Here is a 14,571-nt window from a genome sequence, read left to right on the forward strand (position 1 = left end):
CTATGAATCCCCCATATGCCTAGTTAAGAATATCTGTGCAATGAATGTTATAATGTAAGAAAATGTAACAGGAAACCAACATGGTGTAATTCTTGCCTTCAGTTCCAAGAATGGTCTCTCTCGGACCCATGTCTTTTTATTTCAACATTTTTATACAGTATTAGAAAGCATCTGTCCACAATAAAATCTCCAAATCTGCATATAGCACCCTACCCTTTCATTGCACTGACATACTGAGCTGATGGGGATAAGCTGTGGGAAAAGTGGGACAGAAAAGTGACAGATGATCTTCAATATCCATAAGCAAGACTTAGCCCACTAAACCACCAGTTCTAACTGGAACCATTTGGGAGTTATTTTGGACAGTTTCTGAAAGGCAGGAGCCCAATATGAACCAAAACTCAAAAGGGCAATAAATGCTGGGCAGGGAAATAAAAACTATTTATTGGAAATAAAACTGAAAACATAATGCTTCTATGTACAAAATTCAAGTGCGTGTAAATTGGTCACTCTAGGAGGTTGTAATGATTGCCCTTTGAAAACAATGAAATGCAGAATTACTAAAATGATTCAAGGAATACAGACATTTCTATGTAAGTATACATATTAAAACTAGGAGTCTCTAATCTAGAAAAATATTAATTTAAAGGAGATATTTTAAGTTTATAAAGTCATAACTAAATTTATTCATCAACTTATGGAAAAATTAGGAATAGAGGAAAATGTTTGAAATACATATTTTTGGGGAGAGAGAAGCATATTACAAATATGTGTGAATCACAATGCTGGGTTGTTTAAAGAATATCTGGAGCAACTGGTTGATCTCTCGCAACTCACAACTTGTACTCCAAGAAACTCCCTCCCTCATTTCCAAAAGTAGAGACAAAATCATGTTTGGGAAATCCTTTGGTGTATATATATATATATATATATATATAACCTTTCATACATTCTGATTATAAGTAGAAGTCCACTAGGTATTAGAAGAAGTGAAGAGGATTTATACTCTAAGAGAAAGTAAAGGACAAAAAGTTGTTTGTATTAAGGGCTCTAAACTACAAGTTTCAGGCCAGGGTTAGAGGGAGGCAAACATTTCATTTCTCATTGAAAAATTACATTTTAGGAACTGTTTTGATATTTTGAGGTACACTAGCACTCAATCATTCAAGTATCCTGCTGTAAATCTATTTATCGGGCTGACAGTTATTTATGTTTTGCTAAATAACAGGTAAACTTGTATGAAGCAGTTAAATCCTCTCTCTAGAAACATGCTTAACAAATTTCCAAATTTCAGACAACAGACTAGAAAACAGAAGCAAAAACAGCTGGCGTCACTGGCTTCAGTGACCTAAATTGAGCCCAAATCTTCCTCCTCGTTTTGAGTCAGGCATTTTTGTGTCAGTTGACATAACTATATTTTATTCTGGTGTTGATGTAAACTATTTCTCAGAATTACAAAGCCAAACATTTCTGGGAAACAGGCAGAGAAAGAAAACTTCAATAAAAACCCAATACCTACATTAAAAATATATATATTTGTATTTCTGAGTGATAGAACTATAAATCAATCTCTTAAATATTTCTATTTTCCTCAAAAAAAATTGCTTCAGTTGTGTGTCATTCCCTTTTACTGTTGCTAACAACACCGAAGGATAAAACATTCTGGCCGAGCTATAACTATAAAATTAGCCTAACTAACTTTAACAAAATATGATGTGAACTTAAAAGTTAGCTTGTGTTTTGTTTCATTTTAATCGATAATATTGTTGCCTCTTTGCATGTGCTATTTTTTGAAAATGTCTGAAAGAGGAAATCAGGAAATGCATTTTGTATTAATTTCTAGTGTTATTTTCAAACAAATAAAATTCACTTTGTAATTAAATACAATCTCCCTTTTTTATACAAGCTTAAATAAAAGTCCAAATAAGGTGAGTGCTTAAGCTCAGTTGCAAACAATATAAGTATTGCATTCTTTGACAGTCACAGAAATAATTCTCATTCAGTGATCCTTTTATTATTGCTATCTTTAGTTTCCATGGGGGTTTATGTGAATAAAATAAAATAAAATCCCACACGTACTCAGATAGAATTACAAATGAATGTTCTCTATTCCTGTTTATGTTAAGAGTTCCAAGAATGACTATCATGAGTACACATAATGGTGCTCTTTTAGCAGTGCTGACATAAAAGGGCCACTCAACTATGTTGTTTAATTGTATATATTCCAATGCTAGGCAACTCTCCAAACCTTATTGTAAACATTGTATAAGGTCTGTAAGTTTGGCAGAATAATGGAGCTCAGGCTTTTACAGTTAACGCTAAGTGACAGTTGACTTCTCTTTAGGATTGTATACATTGTTTGCCTTGATTAGTGCAGATTGCTCTGTCACGTAAAACAAGCTGGCATTTGGAAACTCAGCCTAATGTTGCGCTCTAAGGTTGTCACTTTTTCCCCATGCACACTGACTTGGTGCAGTGTTTTGTTTCCAGGTCTATAGAAAAAAGTAATCTATTACAGATTCTTGTGTTAAGGCTAGAAATAGAATAGAATAGGAATATTCAATCAACTGCTGTATTGAACATGTATTAAGTACACAGGTATTATGTAGCAACAGAGAGATTTTGTTAATTTCATGGAATTTGTCATTTAAAAGTATTTTTAGGCAAAATTCATGTTTTTATATACTCTTGAAGCAGACCCTAATTTCTGTGCTATGATTAAGGAGGAAGGAAAGGCAGAGAAACATAGGATAAAAGGTAGTACATTCCTACCCTTGAGTTTTATAAGAATGAGGCTCATTTACTGTTCAAAGGACATTGTTTATACATTCCAGACTTCCATCTTATAATTGCTCTAGGATTTGTAAAAAGGAAATCTCAGCAGGGCAGCAAAATTTATTCAAAGCAATAGCTGCACATAATTGGTATAAAATACCAGAACAGTCTGCTCTGAAAACTCTTTTTCTCAGCAACGCAGATTTCCACCCCCTCAACTCTCTTTCCATATGCAAATAAAGTTTGACTACTTCTCCTCTATTACTTGAGTCTTTTCTTCCTCTACTCAGATAATCTATTTTTTAAAGGTCCTATAAATATTTTCAATACCTTTTATATGAAAAACTTTTTTGATGCCCATTTGGTTTTAGTAGTGTTTACCTGGTTACTATGACAACAGGTAAGAAGAACTCATGTTGTAGAGGAAAGCTAGTTTTATCTTTATATTTTCATAAAACATTATGAGTTAATTATGTGTTTTATCATACATAAAGGTTAAAAACTTCTCTGCTGTGTTATTACCATCTCAAGAACTCAATTAAATGAACAAAGGAACATAAGTTTGAGTCTGGATATTATTATTCAAATTTGAAAAATATATTAAAAAAAAGGTGAGTCACAAAGTGTGGCATATCCCATACATTACAACCACGAGTCTAGAGTGTTAGCTGGACTTCTGACAAAATTCCTTCAGAGGTAAAATAAAAAGAAACAAAATAACAGCATCTTCCTGTTTAAAGGGACATGTTCATTCTAAAAGTTATTTCCAACAAGTTCTTTTTTGTGTGTGTTGATGAACAAGCGTACAATAGCTTTGCTAATTTAATACCACTTTAAAACATCACTTGATAGGATTTGGGCAGATTTTCTTTACTGATATGACTGCAAGATCATGGGATTTTGCGGTTGTTCTTTTTGAAAGAGAAAAACATCTCCGTGAAACCAGAAACACCACCTCTCAATAGGAAGGATTAAAAAACATTCTTCAGTCGTGATGGTTGCCTAATAATGTGAACGTATTCAACGCCACTGAATTGTACACAAAAAATGGTTAAAATGACAAATTTAACATTATTTACCACAATAAACAAAACAAAACTTCTTGAGTACGTATGTACAGGAAGAGTCATTTCAAACATTTGTCATAATCAAACTTAGAGCTTGTTCCTTTTAAAATGCAAAATCTCTGATATAATTCTTATGACCTATTAAAGACAGATTAAATAAAGCATAATGTGGAAAAGGTAGGCAAAAAGTAGGCTTGAGTAGTGTAAGAATAACCAGAAAACAAATATCCATTAACTCAATGTCCTGCAAAGTATTTTCAGTTGCGTCGCAAGTAATATATCGTATTTATGGTGTGATAATCTTTCACATTCTTGTTGAATAATTATGAGATTCAAGTGATTGTTTTTTTCAGGTTATGGACTTAAGATAATGCAGATTTCTGAAGACAGCCTAAAAAATCCCACTAATAACTAATTTTCTTAGAAAGTTTCCATTATTGTTTTGCAATAGACCTGTAAAAATGCTATGGTAGGCACTCACTACTGCTTATCTAATTCATTTGAGTAATCACAGCAGATTTTTAAAAAGGCAATGGGTAGCCATGTTAACTGAAAGAAATGAAACTATCCATTAAGAAAAGTAGTAAGCAGCCATTCCTTTATTCAACAAAATTTACTGATTCCCACACTTCATTCGCCTCTCCACCTTTTCCCCTCTATCCTGTGACCTGGGGGCCGACCACAGGCCCTGCATCACTGGTATCCTCCTCTCTCGGGCTTCCTATTGGTTCCAATTGGAGGCACTGGCAGATCTAAGGGTAGGAGGAAAGTGAGACATAACTGGTCCACATGGGCTTAGTCCTTGGCTGAAGGTCATCACCTCTCTCAGGGAGCCCCCAGCACTGGGCTTCCCCTCCAGGTTCTGGTAACTGCTCCCACCCTTTGCTCTTTCAGACTTTGAGTAGTAAAAGCACTCGTATTTTGCTGGCCTCAGAAAATGTCGTTGTCTCTTTTAGGTTTCCCTAAGACCTGCCAACACATTTGTAAACATTCCTTAAATACCAAGTTTGCGTATGTATGTCATGCATTGCCTATCAGAATCCTAACTAATATAATCACATATTCTTGTCAGACACAGTTTTAGGTCCTTAGAAACCCTGAGCAAATCCTGAGAAATATTGTTTTTAGATATGTAGCCATTTATTTTGCTTTTTAAAATTTAATTGCTTTTCAATTAATAATGCCCCATCCATATGTTATTTTTTAAATTATACTAATAGAGTAGAATGGGCCCCCCATTTTTTTTTTTTTTTGAGAAGGGTTCTCACTCCATCACCCAGGCTGGAATGCAGTTGTGTGATCTTGGCTCACTGCAACCTTCGCCCCCCGAGCTCTGTCAATCCTCCCGCCTCAGCCTGTCATGTAGCTGGAACTACAGGAACAAGCCACCACATCCAGTTAATTTTTGTATTTTTTTGTAGAGATGGGGTTTTGCCATGTTGCACAGGCTGGTCTCAAACTCCTGGACTCAAGTGATCCACCCACCTCGGCCTCCCAAAGTGCCGGGATTACAGGCATGAGCCACCACACCTGTCCACCGCCTCCCTTTTCTATACACATTATATTCATGATATTTAACTTAAGATAGTCATTGAATACTTGGTTTTTTGCATTTTATGAAGTGTTTATGTGACAACGACAAACTAACTTGGTAGTGATTGCCTTTGGGGACACTATGAGCAAGTCTCATAGTAAAGCTTGAGATTGAGAATATTACTTAGGTAATTTAGGCTAAAAGCTCATTTTTATCCTAATCACGTATGTATTTGAAGCAGAAGCATTTCATCACTAAAGAATTCTGTCTGTGCCTCATATTCCTCTTTATCATGTTGGTAAACAAAAAATATGGATTCAATTCAATAAACACTTACCAAGTACCTACTATGTGCAAAACATTGTAATAGGCACAAAACTGAACAAAACACACTTCTTTTTTTTTTTTTTTTTTTTTGAGACAGAGTCTCGCTCTGTCGCCCAGGCTGGAGTGCAGTGGCGGGATCTCGGCTCACTGCAAGCTCCGCCTCCCGGGTTCACGCCATTCTCCTGCCTCAGCCTCCCAAGTAGCTGGGACTACAGGCGCCCGCCACTACGCCCGGCTAATTTTTTGTATTTTCAGTAGAGACGGGGTTTCACCGTTTTAGCCGGGATGGTCTCGATCTCCTGACCTCGTGATCCGCCCGCCTCGGCCTCCCAAAGTGCTGGGATTACAGGCGTGAGCCACCGCGCCCGGCCCAAAACACACTTCTTGTCTTTAAGGATCTTATGTTCTTGTAAAGGAAGCCTGCATGTACACAAATTACTGTTTATAAAGTACGATATAAAACTATTTCTAAATACACATGCAACCTCATGCTATGCCTTTTCTTTCCTGATATTTTGTGACTTTCTCAGTCTTTTTCCCCTAGCATTAAATGTTATACAGCATAGTCTAAATGAAATGTCACTTAATGCAAGTTAAAATATAAGAAGAAGCAAAAATCAAATTAGTAAGCAGTCTCCATTTTTTAAGCAACGAAAGAATGAAACTTTACAGGCGGCCTAAGAGTGACAAACAACCAACACAGAATTGCATGTATCTAGCAGGGCGTGGTGGCGCATGCCTGTGGTCTCAGCTACTTCGGAGGCCGATACAGGAGAATCACTTGAGCCCAGGAGGTTGAGGATGCAATGAGCTGTGTTTGCACCACTGCATTCCAGCCTGGGCTACAGAGCGAGACTCTGTTTCAACAACAACAACAAAAAAAAATTAATTAAAAAAATTTTATATACTTGCTTCAGTTTGCCTGCATTTTTCTTCCCTAAGGGACAGAGTCTCACTCTGTCACCCAGGCTGCAGTGCAGTGCCACAATCCTAGCTCACTAGCCTTAAACTCCTGGGCTCAATGGATCCTCCTGCGTTAGCCTCCAAGTAGCTGTGACCACAAATGTATGCCACCATGCCTGGCTTTTTTTTTTTAATTTGCCTGCAGATTCTTAGAGAACGTGGGTAAACTGTGCTAAAAGCTTCCTAATACATTAAGAAAGTTTGATGAAAGGTACTAAAACCAGAAACTTTTATTTTAGGAAGTAAACTTGTATCAACAAGAAAATTCCCTGTATTTCCAGGGATAATAATTCCTCATCTGCTTATTTGACCCTCACTTTCCTTTTAGACTTTATATCTTTCCGATTGAATGTATACATTTTTAACTCAGAAAAATAATCCACATGACTTTTAAGGTGTTCATCATGCCCATCTTTCACCATTGAAAATTAAACAAGTAAAGGAAGTCCAAGTACAAAGCTACCGCTATGTTTTCGGAGAGATTTGAAACAATCTATTTACACATGAATATTATTAACATCAAAAAATGTTTTGGCTCAGCATGTTGTTTAAGATGATTCTCTCAGTTCCAACCAATCTTCTAGTCCTAGCGGGCCAATTGCTCTACCAAAAAGGCACTGCATGCTGTCTACAAAGGCATGTCTCTCCCCATTCTTAAAACACACTTCCTCACTGGAGACCTCCTTGACTATGACACTTGTCAAATAATAATGGTACACATACAACTTAGGTTTCCTTACAGATAGCACGATTTTAAATTGTCCACGGTCCTTTCCTTCTGTGTATCCCAACACTTCGAGAATTCACCAGTTATGGTCACACACACTTATGGGAAGAAAAGTTTTGAACCAACCACGGTGAAGGACGCTTAAAACAGTGAGAAATAAACAAAAACAAACAAACAAAGCTAGCTACAATTGTACCTTGCTTTTACTCAATCATACAATCCTAAGAAGTTGGGTGAAAATCAAATGTAATAAAACAAACTCATCCTTTTCAAAAGACTTAGGAAATTGCACAAACCATTTCTCCTAATATCTAATTAATCTTTAGTATGCCATGGTTCCTGATAGCTTTAGTTTAAATTATACTTTCTATCAAAGAGTTAGTGACCTGTAATCATCTTTGAAATATGTAAATGAACTAAGGTGGCATTTTTACTGGTAAATCTTTTGTAAATTGTGGAAAAATCATTCTCTCTTATTTGCTCAATATATCCCAATTTCTCCTGTATTTGATTTTCCTAATGCATGGCACACAGCCAGTTGTGACATTTTCAGCTGGTGGACTTAATGAGTATATGATCCAAACAGCACGAGGGAAAAGCTGTGCCCAAAGGCACAACGGGCTTGTTGATGCCACCTACTGTGCATTTTGTTTTTCCAAGGTTATCCACATAATTGACTAAAACAGAGCTCCTGAAGCCTAATTGTATGATGATTCCTGAAGGCTGCCCACCTGCCAAGTGTATTCAGATAGCGCAGGGAAAAAAACAGAGACCGGTGTGGAGTGCTTGGCATTAGGAAGGTGGTTCCCATCAGCGTGGTGAACGAAAGGGTTGGCTTCAACAGAGAGAGGTGGTGTTTAATCAGAGCCTCACTGGGTTGTTGTTGTTGTTGACCAAACTAATTACAACAGGTAGTGATGGCAGGATAGAGAAACTTTACCAAGAATGAAGTAGAGTCCATCCAGCCGATCTGGGAAAATTCCAGGCATGCTGAAAAAGTGAAGAGGGTTTTGGCCCCACAGCCATAACAACAAAAATCTTTAGGAATGTGGCAAAGAAAGACTTCAGAAACACAACAAGGCCATGAATAGGCCAGGGGCCATGGAGGGTGAGCAGGGCGCAGCTCTGGGCTACCCAGCTCATCTACAACAGGTTAGACACATGAGAGCAAGGCAGAATCAGCTCTGGATGCTGCTGTTCTGCCAAACCATGAGAAGCAGCTATGCTAGCTGTAGAAAGCACAAAAGTCTGGCCGGCCCTGACTGCCAGGTGACCTCAGACAGAGTGACCATTACTGATTCCTGTTCAGACACCAGCTGGTGCCACTGGCCCCATTCGCATCCCATCCAACCTGTGATCAGTTTCCTGGAGTGATGCTGAAGCTCCTGTGTGGTCTCTCTTCTCCCTTTTTCCTCTGCAGGCCATGGATTGACCAGTCCTGTGAGGTTATGCCCAGACCCTCCCCAGCTCTGGCCCTTCTGCCACTTCCCCTCTCTCTGCCTCCCTAGAGCTCTGCTTCTGTCTCTACACTCTGGGTAGCCTTTCTCATCTGTAAAATGAGTGGCTTAGACTAGATGATCTTAAAGTTCCTTCCCATTCTAACATTCTGTGATTCTTGGATGTTATAAATTCCCAGAATCATAAAATTTAGAGTTGAAGGAACTTCAGAAGTCATCTATTCAACCTCCTACTCAACCTAGGCTAACCTAGCCAGAATTAATACGCTTTGAAGGTTCTATGTAGTTGTTTTTGGCTAGCTGAATATGGCAATAATCAAAGCTTAAAACTTTCAATATAAAGCATGAAAAAAATACATATATATATAAGATTTTTGAAACATTTAAGAAAAGATTTGAAGGAACTGAAGCCCATTGAGCAGCATGTTTTATTGCTTAGAAGTTGGTATCTAAGCAGCAATTCCCAATCTTTGCTTTCACAATATCAGGGGCATATTAAAAAATCATAAGGGATGTCAGAAAATCCTCCAAAAAAAACTAATTTTCAATTTATTATTATGTTTATAAACATATAAGGCAGGGTGATGGGGTGTCACAACAACATCAAATAAACAAAGCCATCAAATAAACAAAGAGAATAAAGAGTATAAAGGGGAAATACAGTTATATTTTGACATGCATGCAAGAAAAATTAAAAAGAACGTCATCTGTTCTTAAAGAGTAGGTTTCAGTGGCAAGCTCCTTTTCAAAATTAATTTTGATCTGTGATAACAAACATACTCTCTCTCTTCAAAAGAATTATTTTCTTCATAGAACCTATGCCAACTACCATAATACAGATCTTGAAGAAATCATTGGATGTATTTAAGAAACAAGTACTTAAAACAATAACTTTTGTGTTTTATTATTAATTACTTAAAGGGGTAAATTCATAAATAAATAAGAGATATACCATCCTTAAAGTTTGGAAGATTCATTAGTGTTAATATATCAATTCTCCCCCAATTGATGTATAGATTTAGTATGATTCCAGTAAAAATCCTAGCAGATTTATTTTTATGGAAATTGACAAGCCGATGCTAAAATTTATAAGGAAATGCAAAGAACCTAGAATAGTTAAGACCACTTTGGAGAATACGCACTTACTATATTGCTACAGTAATTAGTATTGACACAAGGATACATATGAAACAGAGCAAGAATCCACTGGGAGGCCGAGGTGACGGATCACCTGGGGCCAGGAGTTCAAGACCAGCCTGGCCAACATACCGAAACCCCATCTCTACTAAAAATACAAAAAAATTACCCAGGCATGGTAGCAAACACCCATAATCTCAGCTACTCAAGAGGCTGAGGCATGAGAATTGCCTGAACCTGGGAGGCAGAGGTTGCAGTGAGCCTAGATCACGCCACTGCACTCCAGCCTAGGCAACAGAGTGAGACTGCCTTAAAAAAAAAAAAAAAAAAAAGCAGGAGTCCAGAAGAAGAACCACACAAACATGTTCACCTAGTTTACAACAAAGGCAACAATGAAATTCAAAGAAGGAAATGTCTTTTCAATAAATTGGGCTGGATCATTAACAGCCATACTGGGGCACCGGGGGTGGGCGAGGTGGAACAAACAACAATAACAAATCTTGATGCTATCCACACCAAACACAAACATTAATTGGAAATTGATTGCAGGCCTAAATGTGAAAGATAAAACACAGCTTCTAGTAGGAAATGTAAAAAAAAAAAAGAAAAAAATTCACAATCTTAAAGTAAGCAGATTTCTTAAACAGACACGAAAAGCAATTATCATAAAAGATTGGTAAATTTTACTTCATTAAAATTAAGAACTTATATTTATTAAAACTATCAATCAGAGAGTAAAAAGGAAAACTGAAAATTAAGGGAAGATATTTTCATACATATGTGTGATGAAGGATTGTATCCAAAATATATTTTAAAACCTACAAACCAATAAAAAAGACAACCCAATTTAAAAAGTGAACAAAAAGTTGAATTGCATGGTATGTAAATTATATCCCAATAAAGTTGTTATTTTTAAAAAATGATCAAAAAATTTGCAAAAGACTTCTCAAAAGAGGATATCTAATTGGCCAATGAATATATTTTTAAAAGTGCTCAACATCACTAATCATCAGGAAAATGCAAATTAAAACCACAATGAGATATCCACTCACCAGAAGGGCTAAAACTAAAAGACTGACAATATCAAGTTTTAGTGAGGACATAGAGCAATTAGATTTCTCATGCCTTGCTGGCAGGAGAAAACTGGTAGTGTCTACCCAAGCTGAACATACACATATCCTATGACCTACAAATTCCTCTCTTAGGAGTAAGTGCATATGTTGAACACATGATATGAACAAGACAATTACAGTAATTGTATTCAAAATAGTCTTAAATTGAAATAATCCAAATGCTCATTAATAATATAATGGATACATAAATTTTGATACAATATATCCTGTAATCCAATACACATAGCATTAAAAAAAGAACCAACTGCACACATAACAACATCAATGACTCAAACCAAAATAATAAGGAGCTAAGGAGGCCAGACAGAAAAGGATACATACAATATGGTTTCATCTTTATGATGTACAAGAATGGATACAACCAACCAACAAAGATAGAAGTCACACTAGTAGTTACCTTTAGTGGGTACAAGTGAGGATGCTGTCTGGTTCTGGAAATGTTATATCATCACCTGAGTGGTTATTACATGAGTATATCAACCTACAGATTTAAAATTTGTGCACTATATAAGTTTTAAATAAACAAATAAAATTATTCCACTGCACTTTGTGATGATGCACACTATGTTTTAATTACATATCACACCTTCCAGGGCCTAATACCATGCCTGGACAGTAAGTATTTACTGAATTTAATTAAACTGACCAGGTATTTCCATTTGTATCAACTTAACTAGATGATTTTTAGAATAATATGTCTGATTTGCTAATAGAAGAACTATGGCTGTGCACTTCCTGAAGACTCCTTTAAAATTCCCAGTGCATTCACTTATATTTAAAATATCTGGCTTCTTTTTCCCCAAAAAAGGGAGCTAGGAGGATTTGCATACTGAAAAACAAACAAAAATGACCCATTTGCAGGATTTAACAAGATTCAAATCAAAGAAGCAAAGGAAGAGGAAACAAAGAAAGGTGCTGTTGTGGCGCCCTAGAAAGCAGATGCTCATTAGGGCTCAGGCACAGATTACTATCACAATGTACTTATCTCAACATGCTATCGTCAGACCACACAGTCAAATCAAATTTTGAAGGCTCAAAGGATGTGTACTGAAGAACATCCTGTACTGCTGAAACATGTATTTGAATTTTGTGACAGAGACAGAGAGAGGTAGAAAAGAACACCAGATATCACCCACTGTCATTTTAAATCCTATTTGTAGGTTAAAAAATAATCTCTCTTAAAAAAAAAAAAAAGCAAACAAAATCAAGGTTAAAGATTTCTTCTGCTAAACTTAAAGTCTGATAAACAATTACCAAATAAGAAACACATCTTTTTTTAGGTTTTTGCCAATTGAAAAAACACAACTTTTTTGTGATTATTTTTTAGGTAAAGAATAATTAGTATTCAAAAAGTAGAAAAAATGGTTATAAGTAATTTTCAATTTTAGTATGGGTTAAGAAAAAAATGTAAACTGCTTGCTATTTGACTTTATCACATTTAAGTTTCAATCTCATTAGGAGTATACATTTATCATAAAAATACTTCCTATTATGCTAATTAAGTACTTTTGTTCAAAGTATTACATCATGTCTATGGTTCCATAGCACACTTATACGTTACCAAATAAAATTTTATTTAAAATTTCCATATAAAATTGGATAAAGAATCAGAAGAGAAAACCCAAATCAGGGGCAATTGTTAGCAAATACTTAATCATAATCTACAGCATTAAGAGGTAGTAAAGATTTTTTAGCCAAATTTTGTCAGACCCACTTGGTCCCTGATTCCGGCAGATGGAGTGGGAGTAGCTTATACGATGGTCACACTGGTGCATCTACCACTATCACACACACCTGTTAGTGGACAGAAGTCAGTCCAGAGTGGCTTAACTCTAAGAGTACAAGAAGCAAATTGGAGAACAGGAGTGAAGAAGAGAGAAAGTAAACACACTTTGAAACTGTTCAGACCCTTGCTGGATAGGGGTATGGACCTCATGCCACCCAAGCCCACTCTGCAGGACACTGGCTTTTGTGCAGCTCTTCATCACAGAGTCTGTTGAGCTACAACCCAGAAAAAAAACATGAAGGGATCTCTGGTCTGTCTGATTCATCCTCTTAAGCATAGATTTGTTCAGTATTTGTCTTCCTTCCAGGATAAAATTCTTTTTTTTTTTTTTTTTTAAGAGACGGTGTCTCACTATGTTGCCCAGGCTGGTCTGGAACTCTTGGCTTCAAGCAATCCTCCCCCATCGGCCTCCCAAAGTGTTGGAATTATAGGCATAGCCACTGCTCCCCACCCTGGGTAAGATTCTTAACCTGTGCTCCACAGGCTGATTCTAGGTAAACATTTGAGGCTAATAAAAATGTACGCCATAGGCCGGCGCGGTGGCTCATGCCTGTAATCCCAGCACTTTGGGAGGCCGAGGCGGGCAGATTACGAGGTCAGCAGATCGAGACCATCCTGGCTAACACGGTGAAACCCCGCCTCTACTAAAAATCCAAAAAATTAGCCGGACGTGGTGGCGGGCGCCTGTAGTCCCAGCTACTCGGGATGCTGAGGCAGGAGAATGGCGTGAACCCGGGAGGCGGAGCTTGCAGTGAGCCGAGATCGCGCCACTGCACTCCAGCCTGGGCGACAGAGCGAGCGAGACTCCGTCACAACAACAACAACAACAAAAAAATGTACGCCATCATCGGATTCTCAAGGAGGTCTAGGGTCTGGGGATTCCCTAAAAAGTTACGAAGCATTGGCCGGGCGCGGTGGCTCACGCCTGTAATCCCAGCACTTTGGGAGGCCCGGGGCGGGCGGATCACGAGGTCAGGAGATCGAGACCATCCTGGCTAACATGGTGAAACCCCGCCTCTACTGAAAATACAAAAAATTAGCCGGGCATGGTGGCGGGCGCCTGTAGTCCCAGCTACTCAGGAGGCTGAGGCAGGAGAATGGCGTGAACCCGGGAGGCGGAGCTTGCAGTAAGCTGAGATTGTGCCACTGCACCCCAGCCTGGGCGACAGAGCAAGACTCCGTCTCAAAAAAAAAAAAAAATTTACGAAGCATCAACGAACCAGGAAAAGGTAAAAAGAGAATTGGAAGAGATAGACAGAATTTTTACTTTGTCTTTTTGTTTCCTTCTGGTTGCCAGCCTCAAGAGATGTTTGCTTGATTCAGGGCTGAAGGAGAGTAAAGAAAAGCTGTGAGGCTGTAGTAATCTAGTAGTGGTAAGCTCAGCATGAGAAGCAGTACTAGGAACCCTCGGCTCTTAAAAGGAAAAGATTTTATTTTAATTAGGGGGAAAAGGGAACGAGTTTATCTCTGAGGCCAGCACAAGAAAACAGGTGAGTGGGTCTAGAAGTGAAGAGGGCTCTCAGGGGACCCCCAGAGGAAGCTCCAGCACAAACTCCCTGATCCCTGTGACTTCACAAGCTGCACCTCCCATCTTCTTGAAACCCCTCCCCTGCCATAAAAGGGCAAAGCCTTGTTGAAAGATTGTAGAAGAACCCTGTCTTCCCA

At 37.8% G+C, this 14,571-nt stretch overlaps 1 protein-coding gene across 3 annotated transcripts in view, besides 1 other annotated feature; it reads right to left on the reverse strand.

Moving 5' to 3' along the window:
• The window catches only part of RBMS1 (RNA binding motif single stranded interacting protein 1), a 221,657-nt gene that overhangs the window by 198,629 nt on the left and 8,457 nt on the right, over positions 1-14,571 (reverse strand). The gene's annotated exons all lie outside the window — the stretch shown is intronic.
• Positions 5,999-6,498: an enhancer, noted in NCBI's record as "H3K4me1 hESC enhancer chr2:161333289-161333788 (GRCh37/hg19 assembly coordinates)". NCBI's record gives its function as "activates a minimal SCP1, AML or CMV promoter by ChIP-STARR-seq in primed H9 embryonic stem cells {active_cell/tissue: H9 hESC(primed)}" and the evidence as "EXISTENCE:reporter gene assay evidence [ECO:0000049][PMID:30033119]".

Source organism: Homo sapiens, chromosome 2 (genome assembly GCF_000001405.40).
Source record: "Homo sapiens chromosome 2, GRCh38.p14 Primary Assembly".
Taxonomy (NCBI): Eukaryota; Metazoa; Chordata; class Mammalia; order Primates; family Hominidae; genus Homo; species Homo sapiens.